The following is a 20,370-nucleotide window of genomic DNA, read 5'->3' on the forward strand; positions in this document are numbered from 1 at the left end:
GTCTCACTCTCTCACCCAGGCTGGAGCGGCTCACTGCAATCTCTGCCTCCTGGGTTCAAGTGGTTCTCCTGCCTCAGCTTCCCAAGTAGCTGGGATTACAGGCACCTGCCACCACACCTGGCTAATTTTTGTATTTTTTGCAGAGACAGGGTTTCACCATGTTGGCCAGGCTGGTCTTGAACTCCTGACCTCAGGTGATCCATCCATCTCGGCCTCCCAAAGTGCTGGGATTACAGGCATGAGCCCACCGCACCCGGTCTCTCCAACCTTATTTCTTACCATTCTCTTTCACTCACTTTACTCCAGCTATAATGACCTCTTGACTGTTCTCCACGGCATCATGCATGCAGTTCCTACCTTGGGGCCTTCGGACTTACTGTTATTCCTGCCTGAAATGTTCTTGTCTCAGACACCCACAAGGTTTTGTGGGGTTTTTTTGTTTGTTTGTTTGTTTTGAGACGGAGTCTTGCTCTGTCACCCAGGCTAGAGTGCAGTGGCACAATCTCGGCTCACTGCAAGCTCTGCCTCCCGGTTTCACACCATTCTCCTGCCTCAGCCTCCCAAGTGGCTGGGACTATAGGCGCCTGCCACCACGCCCAGCTCTTTTTTTTTTTGTATTCTTAGCAGAGATGGGGTTTCACCATGTTAGCCAGGATGGTCTTGATCTTCTGACCTCGTGGTCTGCCTGCCTCGGCCTCCCAAAGTGCTGGGATTACAGGCGTGAGCCACCGTGCTCGGCAACACCCACAAGGTTTGGTTGCTTAGTTCATCCAGGTCTCTGTTGGACTGCCACCTTCCCAAGGAGGCCTTCTCAAACCATCTTATATAAAATAATCACACTCCATAAATATTCCCTAACACCCTTACTCTGCTGTTTCTCCATGGCACTTATTACATTGACATATTTATGTGTTTATTGTCTACCTCCCCTAACTAGACCAATAGCTCCTCAAGGGCAGGGACTGTTTCTGTGCACTGCTGAAATCCTGTCACTAAAAACAACGGCACAGAGTATGAACTTAAATGTTTAACTGTGTTTTCATAATGATTTAAAAAAAATTCCAGCTGGGTGCGGTGGCTCACGCCTGTAATCCCAGCACTTTGGGAGGCCAAGGTGGGCAGATCATGAGGTCAGGAGTTTGAGACCAGCCTGACCAACATGGTGAAACCCCGTCTCTACTAAAAGTACAAAAATTAGCCAGGCATGGTGGCGTGCGCCTGTAATCCCAGCTACTCAGGAGGCTGAGGCAGGAGAATCACTTGAACCCGGGAGGTGGAGGTTGCAGTGAGCCGAGATCCCACCGCTGCACTCCAGCCTGGGCGACAGAGCAAGACTCCGTCTCAAAAAAAAAAAAAAAAAAAGTCCTTCTAGCACCTTTATGGGGAAAATCTAAACAGGGACTTGAAGCTTTTAGAGATGTTCATTTCCCCAGATTTCATGGATTTGCACTAGAGGCTCCCAACAAGTAGGTCCATTTTAGGTCTATACTCCAGTCTACAAGGATTTGAAATAAGAGGAGAATCCAGTCAATACAACCTCTACTATACTCACGGACTTGACTGCCAGCACATAACCGCTTCCCTCCCCATCTCATCTCTAGGTTCTCTTTTCTCTCAAAAAGGTCAGGAACCCCTGGAATACTGTGCTGTACCTTACACAGAGCAGGTACCCAGACTGACTGACTACATTTTAACCTTGGAATCAGCCCATGCTAAATCTCTCCGGGTTGCAGATAATAACTGCAATAGGATGCCTTCTCAATCACAGAGTTGAATCTTATATAGCTTTTATTTCAGTGATCAGAAGAATGCAGTAAATGGAATCTACACTAACTAACATTAGGCATGCACCTCTACCTGAAACTGCTGTTAGCTTCTGATTGGCCTAAATCTTTATAACTTATTTAGGCACATCACTGAATTTTTTGTACCCTGATATACAGGGTAAGTTAATTTCTTCCTTGTGGCAGTCTAGTAATAAGAATTATGTTCACTGGCTAGATTCCTTTATAACTAAAGGCCTCTAGACTCTCAGGCTGCCTACCCTACCTTGAGACTTACTTAATATGGATATTTAAGCAAATCATCATATAGGAAAGGGAGATCAAGATAACTGAAGTGTACTGTATAAACACTCTTACAGATATTTTTCTCCAGCATTGACAATCAAACACTAGATAAGGATACCAAATTATTCTTCCCCTACTTCTGCCCTTTCTGATAAACACAAGGATCTCCCCTGAAATCAGAAATGACTCCACACAAATGAGAGATTTTTACGTATGTGGTCCCACTATCAAAATTATAGGAAGCAGTTAATGGGGCTTTGAGAAAAGCATAGTCCCATGTACAGTAATATGCATCTAAATAGAGTTTTCTTTCGCCTGTCAATTATTTTCACAAGATTAGCATTAAAAAATACAAGCAAACATATGACCCTTAAGCTTCACACACAAAAAATTGGTCTTTGTTCATTCTCAGATGACAGGATGTCCCAAGAGTAACAAAAGATGGGAGCCAATCCTCTCATAGCTGTTTCTTCAATCATCCCATCAACAGCTCTTCATTTCTTGAACTACCTTCCTTTTCCAAAGAGGTAATGCTGAGATCAGTCAGAAAGGCTTTCTGAGAAAACTGGCTTGGATTTCTGGGTCTGTTCCAGTCGATTCAAGATGAACTGGCTTGTATCAATGAAGCGCTCAACGCAGTTCACAAAACAGGCCTCAGCCCGACTGTCCAACTTTGGCCCAGGCTTGTCCATGCACTTCTCCTGCTCAGGACAAGATACAGAATCACAAAGGGAACTTGGAAAGAAAAAGACGGTTGGGGGCAGGGGTCCCTTTTTGTTGCTTAGAGAAAAAAAAACTTTACCTAAAAATAATATCTGATATGTTACTGATAGTTCACATTTGGCAGCTGACCAAGTATATAGCAATGTTCTCTAGCCTTACATTAAATTCTTACAACAATACTATGGAATAGATACTATTATAAATCCTCATTTTACAAAGAGGAAAACTGTGGCACAGAGATACTTTACCCAAAATCATAGGGCCAGAAAATGGCAGAGCTGGGATATTCCAGAGCAAGAAAATGGCAAAATATAAGTGAAGTAACCTTTCAATGAATTTGGTTTTAACTCCACAATGCTGTTTGAACTAAATGCCTTTAAGTTAACTACAGAATAAAAGGGTGAAAGGATAAATCATTTCAGCAAGGTACCCTAAAACCTACCAAAGAAGAAAAAAAATATGACTTGAGATTCTATAACCTTGTCTACTTAAGCTAGAGATTCTTGAATCCTGTCATGATGAATGGAAAATTGAATGCATTTTCCTAAGGGGTTCATCATAGCTTACAGTTTTTTTTCCTTTCTTTTCTTTTCTTTTTTTTTTTTGAGACAGAGTCTGGCTCTGTCACCCAGGCTGGAGTGCAGTGGCATGATCTCACTGTAACCTCCGCCAGGTTCAAGCCATTCTCGTGCCTCAGCTTCCTGAGTAGCTGGGATTACAGGCGGGTGCCACCCCGCCCAGCTAATTTTTTCTATTTTTAGTAGAGACAGGGCTTCGCCGTGTTGCCCAGACTGGTCTCGAACTCCTGACCTCAAGTGATCCACCCGCCTCCCAAAGTGCTGGGATTACAGGCATGAGCCACCGCGCCGGGCAGCTTACAGATTCTTGCAATAGTACTTAACCACACGCCCTCCTAGCCCCAAAGTAACGAATCACAGATATTTTTAAAAAAGAATCAAAGCACTCTGGTCCAAGGCAGACCAGAGTTAAGTAAGCATCTGGTAGGTGTCATAGTCCAGCAATACTGTAAGTTTATGGGAAAGGGCCTATGGAAACCAATGACTGTATATAGTTCAAGTTAAGTGGTTCAAAAATTTCGTTCATTATTCTCTGCCATGTACACAAGCCTCAGACCCTCTAATTCCAAGGAAAATTATCCTTGGCCTCTGAATTCTGTGAATTGTGTACATTAAGGGAGATCTGTCCTTGGCAAGCAGAACACGTTGTTGGCAAGCTGCAAATACCTTCCACCCTTTTGCCAAAGTCCCCTCACAGGGCAGGCTCAATTCCTCAACCTTCAGACCCAAAACGGCTTGGTATTACACAACAATCCAACAAGAAAGCAAATAAGTATGTACGTTGGAAGAGATTACACCACTTTTATAGTTACTGGGCTGGAGCCACTCATTTTTCAGCGGAGAGGGTTAGAACTGGGTAATGAAGGTAAATCCCGAGGAGTCCAGGAATAGCAGATTCACTGATTCACTGACTCTCTGGGACTCGGGCTGCCAAAAATAAAATCCCAGTACTGGGGGCTCCGATCAGTCTTGGTGACCAGCACTAGGCAGCTTCAACCTCGGGTGCCTGAAAGTGCTGGGTGTCCAGTGGCATAAGTCTTCTTTGATACCCAGTCCTCTACACCAACAAAGCCGAGGTCCGGAATGACAGTCCCCAGAGAAGCGGAGTCACCCTTCTCCCATCCGGCTAGGCCACAGGAACCTGAGAAAATCAAGGGTTGCTGCCAGGTGCCCGCCCCCCACCCCGAATCCCCGACGTTGTCGCGAGTCCCGCGGTACAAGGACAGAGGGAAAGTAGGTACAGTGTTCAGGTCCCAGCCCCAGGCTCCTCACCCAACAAAGTTCAGTCATCTGGTGCACCAGCTGCTGGAAGCGCTGCTTTTGAGTCTCTACCTCGATGAAATGCTGCAACTGCGGGTCCACTGCACCCAAACCCGCCGCGGAGGAAGAGGAGGAGGAATCCATCCCAGGGCGACCAAGCTTGCAGAGACGAACTCCGCACCGACCTTCACGTGTCTCCGCGACGGAACCGGAACCACAGCTAGCTGCCTCTGGGACCGCCCCCGTGAGTGCACTGCGTCGGCGCGAGGCAGGCGTCCAACTCCACCCCGCCGCCTCCCACACCTTGGCGCCGGTGCTTCGTTCCCGGAGTCGGCGGGTTCCACTCCCCGGACCCCGCAATCCCGTAACCCCGCAACCCTGCCGTTGCGCCCAGCCTTGCGCCTTGAGATCGCAGGGCTTACAGCCCAGAGCCGAGGTGCCGTTGAGATGTTACTCCAAAAAGAAAAGAAAGGAGAAAAGGAAGTTACTTCAGACCACGTGATCCATTCCGTGCTGGCCCCACAGCTCCGCCCCTGTCCACTTCCAAATTAGCCCGCGTTTTCTGAGCTACCAGAGTTGTGCACTGGGTCAGTTAGTTGACTGGGTCGATTAGTTGGCTATCCTGGGCCCCTGGCTTTCGTTTTTTGATGGAGTTTTCCTCTCCCGACGTAGGGAAATGAGGCTATGGCAGTTTGTGCCCAACTTTCAGATTCATTCAAATAACATTGCATGCGTGCTGTGACAGGCACTGTTTTTGCTTAATGCATCTTTGATTCAGAGGCAGGAGTTAACAAGAGGGCTTAAACCTGGAGGATCCTGTCGAGTTCTCAGTGTAGGAATATGCCAAACTAATGCTACACAGCAGCTTTCTGGAATACTGAGATAGGGCGCTTCAGGGAGGCTGCATGATTAATAGAGATACCAAAGACTTTCAAGCTTTCTAGTAATTTTATTTTATCAAAACACCCTCCCCTCCCATCTTTATGACACCATTTCATTCTTGCCAAATTCGGTCCACCCCCACACACACACCCCCAAGCTCTACCAAATGCCTACTCAAAGAGCTGTTGGACCCCTTTGTGCGGCTATTTACATCCTCCCTCCTAAAAAATATTTTCATCGCAAATTCAGTCTGTCTTAATTCTCTCGGGAAATTTCAGGCACAATAATTTCTTGGCCTTTGCTCAGAAGCCACTATCCCAGGGAATCAAAGAAGAGGTGCATTCCCAGATGTAGAGAGGGGCCTTTTTGTATTGAGTGGGAGCACAAAGGCTCCAGGGCTCCTAAGCTTGGGATTTCCTCTGAGAAAGTGAAATTGGGGCTTGTGGAGAAGAGAAGTAGAACCAAGAAGCTTATTGGCGAGCTCAGGATTCTTCATCCATGACATCTAGAATATTGCTCAGAAGAATTTTGAAAGTGGGACGCTCATCTGCTTTCTAAAACCAAAGAAAAAGTAAAGTGTTAGAGTGGCTAGAATCCAGAATTCAAGGGAAATGCAATGAGTAAGCAGCAAATGTTTATTAAATATATGCTCTATGCCCAGTAGCATGCCCTGTCGATTACAAAAGGAAAAAAAAAAAAAAAAGAAATAGCAGCTCTCCATAAAGTCTTTGTGCACTTTTCATCTTTAGTAACTCAGGTTATTAGTGTGATAAGAACAATTTGCAAATTAAACTGACAATCACACTGATCAAAATTGAGGGCAAGTTCATTATGTAACTGTATACAACACATTCTTATTTTGGATCCTCAAGTGAAAAATGGCTACCAAACAAGTTCAAGTGGTTGGCAGAACAGAAATCCCATGTGATAATTTTTAGTGATTAATATTTCAAAACCACAGGCTGTATTACTGAGCAGGGATTCTGAGTACCTGGGACCTTTTTTTTTTTTTTTTTTTTTTTACCACTGGTAACAAAAAGACTAAGGTTTTTTTTTTTTTTTCTTTTTGAGACAGAGTCTCACCCTGTTGTCCAGGCTGGAGTGCAGTGGTGTGAGCTCAGCTCACTGCCACCTCCCAGGTTCAAGCGATTTTCCTGCCTCAGCCTCCCAGGTAGCTGGGATTACAGGTGCACGCCATCACGCCCAGCTAATTTTCGTATTTTTAGTATAGACCGGGTTTCACCATGTTGGTCAGACTAGTCTCGAATTCCTGACCTAAGGTAATTCCCCCGCCTCAGCCTCCCAAAGTGCTGGGATTACAGGCGTGAGCCACCGCGCCCGGCCTACGACTAAGGTTCTTTTTGATGGCCATGGCCCATAAGCCCCCGAGGTATTTGGTATTTAGTGGTTCAGGGAACATTCATGCCAGAATGCTCTCAATCTGTTAGAACCAATGGTCATCAATTTCTTGATTCCTTGACTCAGTGATTCTTAAACTTAGCTGAGTATCAGAATTTCCTGGGAAGTTTAAAAAGAGATTTCTGGGTTCCACTTCAGGCATAGCTAATCAGAATTTCTGGAGAAAAGTCCCAGTTACCTGAATTTTTTTTTGTGACACAGTCTCGCTCTGTCACTCAGGCCAGAGTGCAGTGGCAGGATCTCGGCTCACTGCAACCTCCACCTCCTGGGTTCAAGTCATTCTCCTGCCTCAGCCTCCTGAGTAGCTGAGATTACAGGCACACATCACCACGCCTGGTTAATTTTTGTATTTTTAGTAGAGACAGGGTTTCACCATGTTGGCCAGAATGGTCTAGATCTCCTGACCACGTGATCCGCTTGCCTTGGCCTCCCAAACTGCTGGGATTACAGGCATGAGCCACCATGCCCAGCCAGTAATCTGCATTTTTAAGAGCTCCTTAGGGTTTCTGATATGCATCCAATTTTGACCACTCCTTTAAACAGGCTGTGGATAAAGTACCTGTCTGAAATCATTTTTAATTAGCAGAGTAAGAAGGTCCTGATTGGGAGGGAGCATAGCCAATCACCCTTAATCCTGCATCACACAGAAGAAAGAAGGAGTCCTCCCTTTCTGCACTTTCTCTGTGATCTGTCATTTGTTCGAGGGAAACCAGCCATGCTCGGATCCAGATACCCACTTTTCACCTCACCAAGAAGGCTCCAGATTCACATATGCACTTGTTGGACACTCTGAAGAGTTGAGCATTTATTTCCTACTAGAAATTTAGGTTGCCAAGGATCTACTGAAAAGTAGAGAAGGCATCTTGGGAAGAACTCGAGGTAAGAGGAGCAAAGCAGTTTAATAGTAGTAGGACAGATTTCCTTATTTCCAAAATACCACACCTACCCACATACCCCACGATGCACCATATTAAAAAGCAAAACAAAACAAAGCAAACAAAAAACCCACTACCTGTTTTAGTTCCCTTTCAAGCAGTAGGTTTTAAAAAAAATCTCATTTAGCCGGGCGCTGTGGCTCATGCCTGTAATCCCAGCACTTTGGGAGGCAGAGGCGGGTGGATCACAAGGTCAGGAGATCGAGACCATCTTGGCTAACACGGTGAAACCCTGTCTCTACTAAAAATACAAAAAATTAGCCGGGCGTGGTGGCGGGCCCCTGTAGTCCCAGCTACTCGAGAGGCTGAGGCAGGAGAATGCTGTGAACCCAGGAGGCGGGGCTTGCGGTGAGCCGAGATCACGCCACTGCACTCCAGCCTGGGCGACAGAGAAAGACTCGGTCTCAAAAAAAAAAAAAAAAAAATCTCATTTAGGACCTCAGCCAGAAACGGTTGGCAGCTAATAAAGTAGAAGAAAGGGCCAATGACACACAAAGGAATGAACAAACTTTCATGACTTTTCTTTTGTAATGCCCATTCACTTGTCTGAATGCCTCTGGCTGCCTGCTTATGCTAGATGACATGGCCCCACAACACCTCACTCCCTAAAGCTGAGCTGGCATTGGAGTGTACTAATGACACTCTAGTGAGAATCGGAGTGGGCCTGGGAAAGCCTCTGGCCATCAGATGATCAAGTTGCAGGCCAAGGTCAGAGAATGTGTGCAAGGCCTGGCGTGGTGGTTGATGCCTCTAATCCCAGCACTTTGGGAGGCCGAGGTGGGCGGATCACTTGAGGCCAGGAGTTCGAGATCAGCCTGGTCAACATGGCGAAATGCCATCTCTACTAAAAATACAAAATTGGCCAGGCTCAGTGGCTCACGCCTGTAATCCCAGCACTTTGGGAGGCCGAGGTGGGTGGATCACCTGAGGTCAGGAGTTCAAGACCTGCCTGGCCAACATGGTGAAATGCTGTCTCTACTAAAAATGCAAAAATTAGCTGGGCACGGTGGCATGTGCCTGTAGTCCCAGCTACTCGGGAGGCTAAGGCAGGAGAATCACTTGAACCCAGGAGGCAGAGGTTGCAGTGAGCCAAAATCGTGCCACTGCACTCCAGCCTGGGTGACAGAGCAAGACTGTGTCACCAAAAAAAAAAAAAAAAATTAGCTTGGTGTGGTGGTGCACGCCTATAATCCCAGCTACTTGGGAGGCTGAGACATGAGAATCGCTTGAATCTGGGAGGCGAAGGTTGCAGTAAGCCAAGATCGCGCCACTGTACTCCAACCTGGGTGAAAGAGCGAGACCTTGTCTCAAATTAAAAAAAAAAAAAAAGGAAAAAAAAGAATGTGTGCAGCTATCAGTCTTTGGTGGCTGAATGGCCAGCTAAATGGGCAAGTAGATTCAAGGAAATAATTTAAGAGATCCTAATAAAGCACTTACCTCATGCCAGCAACTGTACATGATGGTATATACCTTCTCTGAAGCCAGATGAGGCCTGTAGAGACGTAGGCCTTGGGCAATGTGTTCAGCAGTCTCACTGTTAGTAAATCTCTCATATGGCATCTTCCCCAGGGAGTAAATTTCCCACATCAAAACCCCTAGAAGGTGAAAAAAATTATTAAATTGGTTTGCAGTCTTTTTGGATAGCAGGGGTCCTAGTCTTCCTAGATCAACCTCAAAGATTAGAATCAGTTGGTTCCCCGCTCTGTGCTTTTTATATTTTGCCCAAATTTCTGCTATAGTACTGACCACACTAGATGGAGATCAAGGTCGTACTAGACTATTAACTCCTCTAGAAGAGAGACAGCATCTTATTTGTCTTTGCAGTTATAGGGTCTGGCAGAGTGCCTGGTACATAATCAGTATTCAGAAGCTGTTGAAAACTGAATGAATTGTTTTCCTTAACATGGTTTAAGTTCTAAAAAGGCAGAGATCATGTCCAGTTTAGTTTTCATCCTCAGAAACCCCTGTGGTGGCTGACACACAGTAAGCACTCCCCAAGGATTGGAAGAATGAAAGCAAGAACAATATCTCTGTGGAGGTTGCAAAGTGTGAATTTTCCCATTGCATTTCTTATCCTTTGAGCTGTATAATCTGTGTAATCTTATCCACTTACCAAAAGCCCAAATGTCAGATTTGCTGCTGAACTTGCTATACATCAGGACTTCCGGTGGGGACCACCGGACTGGAAATTTGGAGCCTACTGAGCTTGTGTATTCATCATCCAGGACATACCTGCAAGGGATTCAGGACTTGTTGCATTAGGATTTGGAGGCTTGATATTTGCTTACGTTTTCTTGGCACGGTCACAAGAGTGTCACAAACACACACAGGCTTTCTCAAAAGTCTCTCCTCCTCAACTAGTATCTTCTACAAACGTTACTTTTAACGAATTTCCTGTTTTTGTATCTGATTGAGCTTTCCTGATTGACAATATGGTTACAAGAAGGATGAAGTGAAATAAGATCTAGTAGGTACTCCCTTCCTCTTCTCTATCCACCTTTCCTTTCTCTGCTCTTCTCCTTCCCTTCCTTTTATCTGCAGTTGTCACTGGGAATTAGACTGATTAAGAAAGAAGGAGGAATGGAGTAAAGTCATCAGGATTAATAGATCAAGATAAGGTATTGGGGAAATAGATTTAAAAAAGAGGAGGTAGAGATAAAGGGAGAAAGGAAGGAAAGGGATATGACAATAAAACAAAAGGATGAAAGAGGTGGCTTAAATAACTCAGAGGAAGAAAAAGAATAGAAAGATCGGCAGAAAACGCTAGAATGAGAAAAAAAAGAAAAGGAGAGGATTAAAACTGTAACACCTACCCATGTTTCATACTGTGCTATTTTTACTTCTGGAGGGAAAGATGAAAAAGCCACACTCACCTGGACAGGCCGAAATCAGATACTTTAACAACTCCTTGATCGTTTACCAAACAGTTTCGAGCTGCCTGTAGTGCAAACAGAGACCAGTGAGACTCCGTCCCCAGCACAGAGGTTAAAGGCACAAAGCTTCTGCTGACCAGTAGAATGAAGCCAGGGAAGCTTCATCTCCTTCGACTACAGACACCTTCCCACCTAATAGGAATCTGTTGATGCCACCAAGAAATTTTGATTCATTTCCACCACGTGGAAAGCAACCTGCTGTGTAGTCCTAGGTAAAGCACTGAGGACATACAGAACGATTGCATTCTCATGGGCAATTCCACACCACCCCATTCCCTCACTGATATGCTGAAAGAATTAAGGGAGAGGCTGGGTGCAGTGGCTCACGCCTGTAATCCCAACACTTTGGGAGGCCGAGGTGGGTGGATCACCTGAGGTCAAGAGTTCAAGACCAGCCTGGCCAACATGGCGATACCCCATCTACTAAAAATACAAAAATTAGCTGGGCGTGGTGTTGGGCGCCTGTGATCCCAGCTACTTGGGAGGCTGAGGCAGGAGAATTGCTTGAATCTGGGAGGCGGAGTTTGCAGTGAGCCGAGATGGTGCCATTGCACTCTAGCCTGGGCAACAGAGCGAGACTCCATCTCAAAACAAAACAAAACAAAACAAAACAAACAAAAAACAAAGAAGGGAGAATGAGAAGTAAGTTTTTTTGCTTTCTGCTTTTCTGCCAGTGAGACTAGGACAATTTGAGCCTTGGCCTGACTGAAAGAAACAGGGGCGCAAACTCTGATGCTTACAGGGGCCAGGCAAGTTAAGTAAGAGTGAAGTGAAGTGGATCGAGATTGCAGGAAATGGAGAGTACATGCCTAGAGGAAAGGAGGCGGTTCGTGAGAATGTGGACCTGGTATTTCCAGACGGTGTAGATTTTCAAGAGAAGCTGGAAATTCCAGGGTTTTTTTTTTTTTAAGCGAAATGTTTCTTTTTAAGGGTTTGCTAATTATTATATAACATAAAAAAAACCCACACATGTGGGCCAAATGCATCCACAGGCCCCAGTATGTGACTCTGAAGGAACCAAATGATGGCCCCATGCCAGGAGCAGTCCCATTGGGAAGCACAGTCCCTTCTGTTCCAAATCCAGAATGGCCACTGAAAGACCCCACCATTTTCTTGTGGGTGGTAGGGGGTTGGGAGTGAGTGACTGCTCTGATTCCCACCACGGCAGACTTCATGGAGCTGAGGCTGGAGATATTTGATGGGCTCAGCACTGGGGCAGAGGCACGCCTAACTTATAGTACTTTCTAGATAAAATTGAAATGATGGCACCAGCAGCCCCCCTCAACCATGTATGATATATCTTCCACTGCTACTTCCACCCCATCAGCCCTTTGTCCTAGGCCAATCCTTCTAAGGTCCCACCAGGTCTCGGTGAAGGAACTGCTTTGACTCCAGGTATTCCATGGCTTCACAGACATCCTTGCACATCTCTAGCAGCTGCTGAGTCTGGAAGCGGTGGCGCATCTCCCTCAGGTAGTTCAGGAGGCAGCCATTGGCCATGTACTCAGTGATGATGAAGATGGGGCGCTGCTTGGTGCAGACGCCATACAACTGCACCAGCTTCTCATGGGAAAGATTCCTACAGGAAAGGCAAGGAACTAGTCTTCTCCTTTTGGCTCTGCATAATAGCAATAAAGGGGCTGGGGAGGAAGGGGCTGACCTAGGAGTAGAGCATCAGATAAGGGGTCACACCAGCAAGTTTATTTTCCTCTTTCCCACCCTAAATCTCAAAAGTGCTTAAAATGTGGAAGCAAGCAGGGATTTGGAGCCCATCAATTGAAAAAGAAACAAGTCCAGGAATGAAAGAACGCTAAGGCTAAATTAGAATATTTCTCTTGAAAGTTTAATTTTCTACATCTACCCCCAAATGCTACTGAGATGGTACACACCCATGATCACCACTATTCTCAACCAATATCTAAGGCACAGAAACTATTATCTTAGCACTTAGGACTACCGCCAGTTAAAGGTAAACTTCAGTCCCTCGTCCCAAACCTCTCTTACTGTAAGTCATCTTTAAGCCTCAGTGGGTTGTTGTGTGAATTCCTAGACTCCAGCAAATAGATTGAGAGTTGAGTTTGGGCTATAACTCACATCATGACTTTGGCTTCTTCAATGAATTCATCTTCAGACATGGAGCCTTCTTTGATCATCTTGATGGCCACGTCGTACTGGCCTCTCCATTTCCCATACTTCACTACCCCAAATTGTCCAGTCCCCAGCTCCTTCAAGAAGGTCAGGTCCTTTGGATCAATTTCCCATGATCCTAACAATAAAGTCTTGGTGTGATTCTTTGGGGTCATGAATGTATAATTCTTACAATAGACAAAAATCCCTACTGGGGTAGAAATAGGAAAACTAGTAAAAGGGAAATTTTTAGAAGTACTAATCTGTCTTTGCTTAAGTCAATCTCAGAAACGGGATTCATTGGTTAGAGGAATCTGGGAATTTTAGGTTCAAGGTGGCCATAAGGCAAGAAGATAGACTAAGCAACCTCCCCAAATCCCTTTATGATTATGTTAGTGATGGTAGTTAATGAACTCAGGGATAGTACTGAAAATTTTCCCACAATTAAAAATAAAAGACAAAAAGACCCAAGACAACGACAAAGCCCTTTATGAATCTATGTTTTTGCAGTCCCAGTCGTAGCCACTAGAGGAAGAAAATCAGTGAATAACTTTTGCTTGGATCTGTCTTGAGCGTCCTTGAGGCAGCTGCTGCAGAACAGTGTACCTCAAGGACACTCCCTAAGGCAAGGCCAGCAAAGGTAGTTTTTGCAACTGGCCAGTCCACCCTACCCCAGAGAAATAAGGAGTTACCGTATCCCAGGCCTGCAGTGGAAGGTGCATTCTTGTTTTGTTGAGACACTGGATATTTGAGCCTGGATATGAGTCCTGAAACAGAGAGAGAGGTCATGCTGTTGGTGTGGTGTAGGAGGTGGGATGCCTCACACATCCTCACTTAAAGCCTCACACTTCCGGTGTGTATCTTTCTAGTACATTTTGAATCCCAGAAGACCTCCATGAACCCACATATTTCCAGAGGTTTCTCCTCTCACAAAATACTTTTCAGGGACAAAAAAGAGAAAATACTAATTGAAATACACTGCCTAACTGAATATATTCCCACCTCCCAGCCCAGGCTTAGCTCACATCCTACCTTCTTGATGAAGCTGTTCCCCCATATCCATGCCCTCACTAATGTCTCAGTTTTTAGAAATTTTACAGTGCTTATAAACTTTCTTCTGATGTTGTCTAACCTGTATGTTCTTTGAGGACAAGGACCTCGACTCAGAATGTTCCCGTGTTCTCCTCTAGAACTGAGGAAATCGCTGAGTACACAGTAGGAACTCAATGAATACTTGCTGATGAATCAGTCACCAGCCTCTTTTGTGTCTTCTCTTAACACTGAACATCAATCACCAAATAAAGAGTCAGTCCCTGTTGGGTGTAGGTCTGCCTCTGACCACCTCTTTACCAGCTTCTACCCAGTATCACAGGGATTTCCTTTCACAGTGAATTCACACTGTCCTGTGAGGCAGATTCTTCCTCTTATCACCTTGTCCTGCATTGCTTATCCTGGTGTCTGTAACTCCCTTCTCAGTTGCCCCTGGTACTCACCTGCAGAGTTGTGCTGATGGTAGTTAATGAGCTCAGGGATGGTGCTGAAAAGGTGCTTCTCAGCCAGGTAATACTGGCTCTGAGGTGTGGAACACACAACATAATGACGTATCACCCCTTGAGGGTCCCTGAAGAAGTGGATGCTTAGTCAGTAACTTGGGCACAAAGGTCAACAGAACCCAGGAAGTGAAGTGAGATGAGTTTTGAGTTTCAGAGACAGAGGAAGTGGGACGGGCACAGCATCAAGGAGCTATTAGGAGGGTACCCCTGTTCTTTGTCCTCAGGGCCTTGGAATAGTAGCACTCACCCTGTGGATTTAGCAAACACAGACACTGTATATTTGCCAGCTTTGCTGGAGTCTCTGACAATGAAACCTCCTTCTTTCCCCTGAAACAACGAAAAAGAAGCTGTCTGTAGGAGGAAGTGGTGCTCACACCTGCATCCCACCTGCCCAAACTTGAGAGAGAAAATAGAACAACCCCTGATTTTACTGCCAAGTTCCACGCTTGAGCTACAGCCTCATTGCTTTTAATATTAAAAGGTGCAGGCCGGGCATGGTGGCTCATGCCTGTAATCCCAGCATTTTGGGAGGCCGAGGTGGGCGGATCACCTGAGGTCAGGAGTTCGAGACCAGCCTGGCCAACATGGTGAAACCCCGTCTCTGCTAAAAATACAAAAATTAGTCGGGCGTGGTGGCATGTGCCTGTAATCCCAGCTACTTGGGAGGCTGAGGTAGGAGAATTACTTGAACCCAGAAGGCGGAGGTTGCAGTGAGCCCAGATCACGCCACTGCACTCCAGCCTGGGTGACAGACCGAGAGTCCGTCTCAGAAAAACAAAAACAAAAAAAATGGTGTAATTGGGATCCCAGACGATGGCAGCTTTGACACTGCCTTGCCCAAAGGTAGGGGGCAGAACAGGCCCTCAGTTCAAGATCCTCACTTATGCAAGGAGAATGCTGTGTGCTAGTGGTTCCACACTTACCTCTTGCTTTAGCAGTTGCTCAGCCTGACTCCGAGTCATGTGTTTGGAATACCACCTGTGAAGGGAGAGTGCTGCTTGAGTGGCTCCTGGTCATAAGCAGATTGGAGGTTACAGCACCCTCCAGGGCTTGTCCATGTCAGTGATTCAGTCAACTCACTCAAACCCTATTTACTGAGCATCTGTCATGTGCATAGCACACTGTATCCCTTTCCCAAACCCAGGTTGGCATTGAAGATTCATGGAAATGGAGAGTAGCAGGCAAAGGCAAGCAGCAGGGAGTTGCAGGGAAGAGATCAGGGACTAGGGCACTTGAGAACAATCCACTTCCATGATTAGGGAGGAAAGGACAACAGTAGCAGTTTGACATTTTAATTCTTTCATCAGGTCGTCAACTCCTTTTTCTTTGAGTGTGATTCTTCTGGATTTGAGGGCATGGTGACCTCTCCAGCTCTCATAAATGGAGGGTGTTTGGGGGGTAAAGGTAAGACAGATACACTAATTTGAGGTGGTGGCATCATTTGATTCAGATGGTACTAATTTTAATATATATCTTGAAATAAAAAATATGTTGAAAGTAGAAAAAAGTGTATATATATATATACACACTTGTGTATGTATACATAATATACCTATATATACACCAGTGTATGTATACATATGTATACATATATACACTTGTGTGTGTTATATATATATATAAATATATATAAAATATATATAAATAAATAAATATATATATATATAGAGAGAGAGAGTTCCTCCTGGAAGATTGTGGACTGACATAAACATACTTACTCATACATTTCTATGGAGTCTTCTGCTTCAGTGACATAGTTACTAGGAATGTAGCCTTCCTGCCTGTGAAGGAAACAATGTGGCAGTTCATCCAGCACCTCCCCAGCCTCCAGGAGACAGATTCATATGCCCACGTCCCTGAGCTCAGAACAAATCTCAAATGGAGGTATATGTATCATGCACCTCCCTCAAAGACAATCATGTCTCTGATGCATGGTTAGGCAGTGAGCCAGTGAGGTGCAGAGCTTATGCACATGTTGCATTGGTTATATGTGCCCAACAACAGAGGCTCAGAGATGTGGCAGAGGCCATGTATAGGGAGCTGCACGCTGGGAAGTACTTGGAGGGAGAGCATGTTCAGTCTGGTGTGGGAAGAACAGTCTCTGATGAGGATGCTGATCACGGGAATTATGCCGCAGCACTTTTTGCGTGTAGGGAGTGGGCAGGCACCAGGCTCAGGAAGGGCTGGTGTGGACTCACCCATTTTTATCTCGTGCTCTCCACCATGGTAAGTTGCTTTCCTCCAAGATAAAATATTCATCACCCTTCCGCAGCTGTAGATCATTTGCATTCATTGGCATGTAATCATAAAGGGCCACAACCTTTTTCAGCTCACTTGTGGAGACTGGTGCTGCTGCTGGCTCAGGCGGTAGTGGCTTTTTCAAGATCTATGTAGTTAGGAGAAAAGGTAGGAGGGTTTGTCAAGATACCAAGCACTCTTCTCTTCTCTCCCAACTCTCTGGCTTACTCAAGACACCCAAATCAGGCATACTAAAATATTACTCAGCAGTCATTCAACAACCATTTTTAAGCACCAGTGCAGGAGTTCTCAGCCTTGCACACATATAAAGACCATGTATGGAACTTTTAAATTCCAATGTACTTTCGGAGGCCAAGGCGGGCGGATCAGTTGAGGCCAGGAGTTCGAGACCAGCCTGGCCAACGTGACGAAACCCCATCTCTACTAAAAATGCAAAAATCAGCTGGGCATGGTAGTGTGTGCATATAGCCCCAGCTACTCAGGAGGCTGAGGCAGGAGAATAACTTGACCCCAGGAGGCGGAGGTTGTAGTGAGCCAAGACCACGCCACTGCACTCCAGCCTGGGTGACAGAGTGAGACTGTCTCAAAAAAAAACCCACAAAAAACAAAAAACCAATTCCAATACCTAGTCAGTTTCCTCACAGACCAATTACATCAAAATCAAACTCTCAGGAATGGGACCCAAACATTACTATTTTTAAAGCTCACTAGACAAAAACCATTTATAGCTAAGGTCAGGAAACCGGCTTGGCACTAAACTTGTACGTGAATCTACTAAGTGGCTCAGAACCTTGGTTTCCTTCTTTGTAAAATGAGTATAATAATACCTGCTCTACTTACTTACAATATGTGAGAAAGGGCTTTCTAGCCCTCAAGAAGGAACCAAAAAAAAAAAAAAAACTTCTGAAGTGTTAGTGATAGGTGGTGTTAGTGCTAAGTGTTGAGTATGTTGGTATTAAGTGTTAAATTCTTCTAACTTTACTGTATGTTTGAAAATACTTTCCAGCTGGGCACGGTGGCTCACGCCTGTAATCCCAGCACTTTAGGAGGCCGAGGCGGGTTCGAGACCAGCCTGAACAACATGGTGACACCCCCATCTCTACTAAAAATACAAAAATTAGCTGGGCGTGGTGGTGCATGCCTGTAATCCCAGCTACTCAGGAGGCTGAGACAGGAGAATCACTTGAATCTGGGAGGCGGAGGTTGCAGTGAGCCGAGATCATGCCATTACACTCGAACCTGGGCGACAGAGCGAGACTCCGTCTCAAAACAAAAACAAAAGCAAAAACAAAACAACAACAAAAACTTTACATTAAAAAAATCAGGTTTTGTTCTAAACAGGTGATTGGATTACATGGTTGCTGAGAGCCTTCTATCTTTCCATCGAGGAGGAAATCCTAATTAGAAGAACAAATCCCCCATCTTAGCAAGAATACCAATTAACACTGCCAAGTCCCAGGGTAATTCTAAGACTCTAGTGTGTTCTTAGGGCTTGACTATAAGTTTCCATTTAAGCAGTGGCAGCACCCAGTTTCCCTGTATACCTGGTCCTCCTCAGGCGTTGGGGGAAGAGGCTTTTTTGTCTTCCGGTGAGAACTCCCAGGTTTTAAGCCTGCAAAACAAGAAGCCAGTGATGATATGGAATGCACTTTAGGAAAGGGGCCAAGGACAGGTTTGGTCAGGGACTTTGCCGTCCATATTGAGTGCCTTTAGGCAAGTTAGAAAAAGTAGCTAGGCATGCCAGGTCACATAGCTTGGAGAGCAGATTACCAGCTGGATTTCAGCCCCCATGTGCCTCCTCCCTCCCCCAGGACCCTTTGTTTAGCACCCAAAGTGTACAACCTTATGCTATGACCCTGGGCTTGACAGACCCTTGGGAGAGTGATGGAAACAGTCAAAGGAGAAAGAAATTATATCGATCAGATTGCTTACTTCCATTCCTGTTCTCCAAAATTTGGCAGCCCATAGCATTTTTGGCTGTCTGAGAGCAGCAGAGATACTGCCCATCGATCCAGAAGCAAGGGTGATATTTCTGAACCAGATCACTGTTGTACCGGATTACTGTAGCAGGAAAGAAGAGAGAGATCACATCTGACATGGAGGAGAAGCCACCATTTGCATGTTTTCCTCTTTGAGCTTAGTGGTGAACTTCAAGCAACTGCCCCCTCCTTGGCCACCCTGAAGGAGAGCAGATCACAGGACCAGTTGGCTCACATGACTGGCCTGCCTGACTGTGCCCTGGTCCCAGACAGTTCCTGTGCAGTTTTCTTTAGTGGTCTGTGATGAGGAGTATCTCCCAATCAACAAGATAAGACTATCTGATGGCTTGAGAGCCCAACAACAGAAATATGTTATCTATGTTTTCCCAGTAGCCATTACAATGTTCCTGTAAGGCAAGTGTTTCCCAGATAAGGGAAACAGTGTGCCCAGGCCAATCTCCCCAGCTTTTAATACTGATTTCTCAGTTCCTTGAGTGATCTTTTAGGGATAATTAGCCTTAGTGAGAACTTCTGCATGAGGCTTTCTGTATAGAATAGTCAACAGAGCTGATCTCAAGGGCAAATGAAGGTGACTTTGCCTCTAGAATCAACATGATTTGAATCTTCCTAGGGCCACTGAGGTAGACTGAGCTCATTGCCAGAGGTAACACAGCAGCTTCATTCCCTCATGGAGTTGTGAGGCCCAAAAGATCTCCCAGAGTAAAAGTATTTTGCAAAGAATAGAGTGGATGCAGAGAGGAGGAATTAGTATTGGTGTTTATAATACTATGGCATATCAAAAACCTTCACATGAAGTCAATTAGAAAAGTTGGCCAGACGCGGTGGCTCACGCCTGTAATCCCAGCACTTTGGGAGGCCGAGGTGGGTGGAGCATGAGGTCAGGAGTTCAAGACCAGCCTGGCCAAGATGGTGAAACCCCGTCTCCACTAAAAGTACAAAAATTACAGCGTGCCTGTAATCCCAGCTACTCGGGAGGCTGAGGCAAGAGAATCGCTTGAACCTGGCTGGCGGAGGTTGCAGTGAGCCGAGATCGCGCCACTGCACTCCAGCCTGGGTGACAGTGTGAGACTCTGTCTCAACAAAAAAAAAAAAAAAGAAAAGTCATCCAGGGTTCATAGTGTCAGATAACTGAGAGAAGCAAAGACAATTGAAATAACTGATAGCAGCAAACACTAGAGCAAAGACCCAGGCTGGTCCAGGAACACGCACATTTGAGAACATATACATTTCAGCATTTACAGCTAAGAAGAATCCCGCACATTATTATTATTATTATTATTATTATTATTATTATTATTATTATTATTATTGGAGATGGGGTCTTCCTGTGTTTCCCAGGCAGGCCTTGAATTCCTGGACTCAAGCAGTCCTCCCACCTCAGCTTCCCAAATACCTGGGACTACAAGCACTCACCACCAGGTCCAGTGGCTGGCATAACTTTTTTTAAAAAAGACAAAAACAAAACAAAACCTTCCACTGTAGAAAACAACTAAAATCCGGCTGGGTGTGGTGGCTCGCACCTGTAATCCCAGCACTTTGGGAGGCAGAGGCGGGTAGATCACCTGAGGTGAGGAGTTCAAGACCAGCCTGACCAATATGATGAAACCCCGTCTCTACTAAAAATACAAAAAT

At 45.4% G+C, this 20,370-nt stretch overlaps 2 protein-coding genes across 5 annotated transcripts in view, besides 1 other annotated feature; both read right to left on the minus strand.

The window, feature by feature from the left end:
• Window positions 1,771–4,852, minus strand: TIMM8A (translocase of inner mitochondrial membrane 8A). Of its 2 annotated transcripts, none has more exons than NM_004085.4 (2): window positions 4,643–4,852; window positions 1,771–2,770 (listed from the first exon to the last, which is right to left on the minus strand). In NM_004085.4, exons 1-2 carry the CDS (start codon window positions 4,772–4,774, stop codon window positions 2,609–2,611), a joined length of 294 nt encoding a protein of 97 aa, NP_004076.1. In that variant the 5' UTR covers window positions 4,775–4,852; the 3' UTR covers window positions 1,771–2,608. The 2 variants fall into 2 exon arrangements, with proteins under 2 accessions (NP_004076.1, NP_001139423.1); NM_001145951.2 differs by having other exon boundaries at window positions 1,771–4,511.
• Window positions 4,774–4,823: an enhancer, noted in NCBI's record as "active region_29808". NCBI's record gives its function as "activates an Ori minimal core promoter by ATAC-STARR-seq in GM12878 lymphoblastoid cells {active_cell/tissue: GM12878}" and the evidence as "EXISTENCE:reporter gene assay evidence [ECO:0000049][PMID:35858748]".
• BTK (Bruton tyrosine kinase) overlaps window positions 5,560–20,370 on the minus strand; it is a 41,347-nt gene continuing 26,536 nt past the window's right edge. For 2 of the 3 annotated variants that reach the window (NM_001287344.2, NM_000061.3), the window contains exons 6-19: window positions 18,671–18,799; window positions 18,283–18,350; window positions 16,678–16,865; window positions 16,198–16,260; window positions 15,403–15,457; window positions 14,727–14,806; window positions 14,420–14,547; window positions 13,619–13,693; window positions 12,894–13,065; window positions 12,162–12,378; window positions 10,740–10,804; window positions 9,980–10,098; window positions 9,304–9,461; window positions 5,560–6,066 (exon numbers count right to left, since the gene is read on the minus strand). In NM_001287344.2, the coding sequence (NP_001274273.1) occupies window positions 5,995–6,066; window positions 9,304–9,461; window positions 9,980–10,098; window positions 10,740–10,804; window positions 12,162–12,378; window positions 12,894–13,065; window positions 13,619–13,693; window positions 14,420–14,547; window positions 14,727–14,806; window positions 15,403–15,457; window positions 16,198–16,260; window positions 16,678–16,865; window positions 18,283–18,350; window positions 18,671–18,799 (1,589 nt within the window). In that variant the 3' untranslated portion in view covers window positions 5,560–5,994. The remainder of the gene's footprint in view (window positions 6,067–9,303; window positions 9,462–9,979; window positions 10,099–10,739; window positions 10,805–12,161; window positions 12,379–12,893; window positions 13,066–13,618; window positions 13,694–14,419; window positions 14,548–14,726; window positions 14,807–15,402; window positions 15,458–16,197; window positions 16,261–16,677; window positions 16,866–18,282; window positions 18,351–18,670; window positions 18,800–20,370) is intronic. The other variant, NM_001287345.2, reaches the window with a different exon arrangement.

Source organism: Homo sapiens, chromosome X (assembly GCF_000001405.40).
Source record: "Homo sapiens chromosome X, GRCh38.p14 Primary Assembly".
Classification (NCBI taxonomy): domain Eukaryota; kingdom Metazoa; phylum Chordata; class Mammalia; order Primates; family Hominidae; genus Homo; species Homo sapiens.